Source organism: Homo sapiens, chromosome 3 (assembly GCF_000001405.40).
Source record: "Homo sapiens chromosome 3, GRCh38.p14 Primary Assembly".
NCBI lineage: Eukaryota > Metazoa > Chordata > Mammalia > Primates > Hominidae > Homo > Homo sapiens.
Genome location: NC_000003.12, coordinates 195632762 through 195633528, shown reverse-complemented (window position 1 = coordinate 195633528; position 767 = coordinate 195632762). Strand labels below are relative to the sequence as shown.

General features: G+C 48.4%; 1 annotated feature.

Annotated features, from left to right (window-relative positions):
- Window positions 268–767: an enhancer, noted in NCBI's record as "H3K4me1 hESC enhancer chr3:195359633-195360132 (GRCh37/hg19 assembly coordinates)". NCBI's record gives its function as "activates a minimal SCP1, AML or CMV promoter by ChIP-STARR-seq in naive H9 embryonic stem cells {active_cell/tissue: H9 hESC(naive)}" and the evidence as "EXISTENCE:reporter gene assay evidence [ECO:0000049][PMID:30033119]".

Here is a 767-nt window from a genome sequence, read left to right as displayed (position 1 = left end):
AACCTTGAAACCCACATTTACAAAAACATTTTCAATATGAAACATTGTTCCATGACTCATTACTGGAGTACCATCAACATTTACATTTCCAGACCACCCACTGCCCAGTGGTTTTCTTGGTCTCAGTACTCATGAAAACGGTCTGAAGGTTTGTTTTGGGTTCCTAAGTAGTAGACACACGCACAACACTGCCTGTCAGTTATTTCTTGGAAACTAAATCAGCCCTTCTGTTGCCATCCTATCATGCTTCAGGGGTGCCTGTGCTAGTTTTTAATTCTTTGTTCTAACACTTAAATGTTTGCTCAAACGCCCATATTAATACTTCCTCTTAGTTTACAAAAGGATTTACTTTCTTACTGGTTGGGATGAAGCTGCCTGAGGTTGCCACCTGTTATTTTTCCTTCATTTATTGGACCATGTCATCCCATTACATGTCAGCCGTGGAGGTTTTCAAACTGTGGTCCCTGGACATGTTAAAAATGCAAATTCTCAGGCCGAACCAGGACTGAATTGGAAGATCTGGGGTAGGGTCCCCCCAGGACTGAATCAGAAGATCTGGGAGGGTCTGGTGCTGTGCACCCCGACATTCCCTCACTACCCCACTGCCTCTCCCTGCCCTGTGGTCACCACAGCAGCCGCCTCTGCAACCTTGACTATCAGCATGCAGGTCCCAGGACTCGGGGGTCTCCTAACCCGTGCACCCCGACATCCCCCTCACTACCCCACCGCCTCTCCCTGGCTCTGCCTCTGCGTGGCTCCTCTCCTGC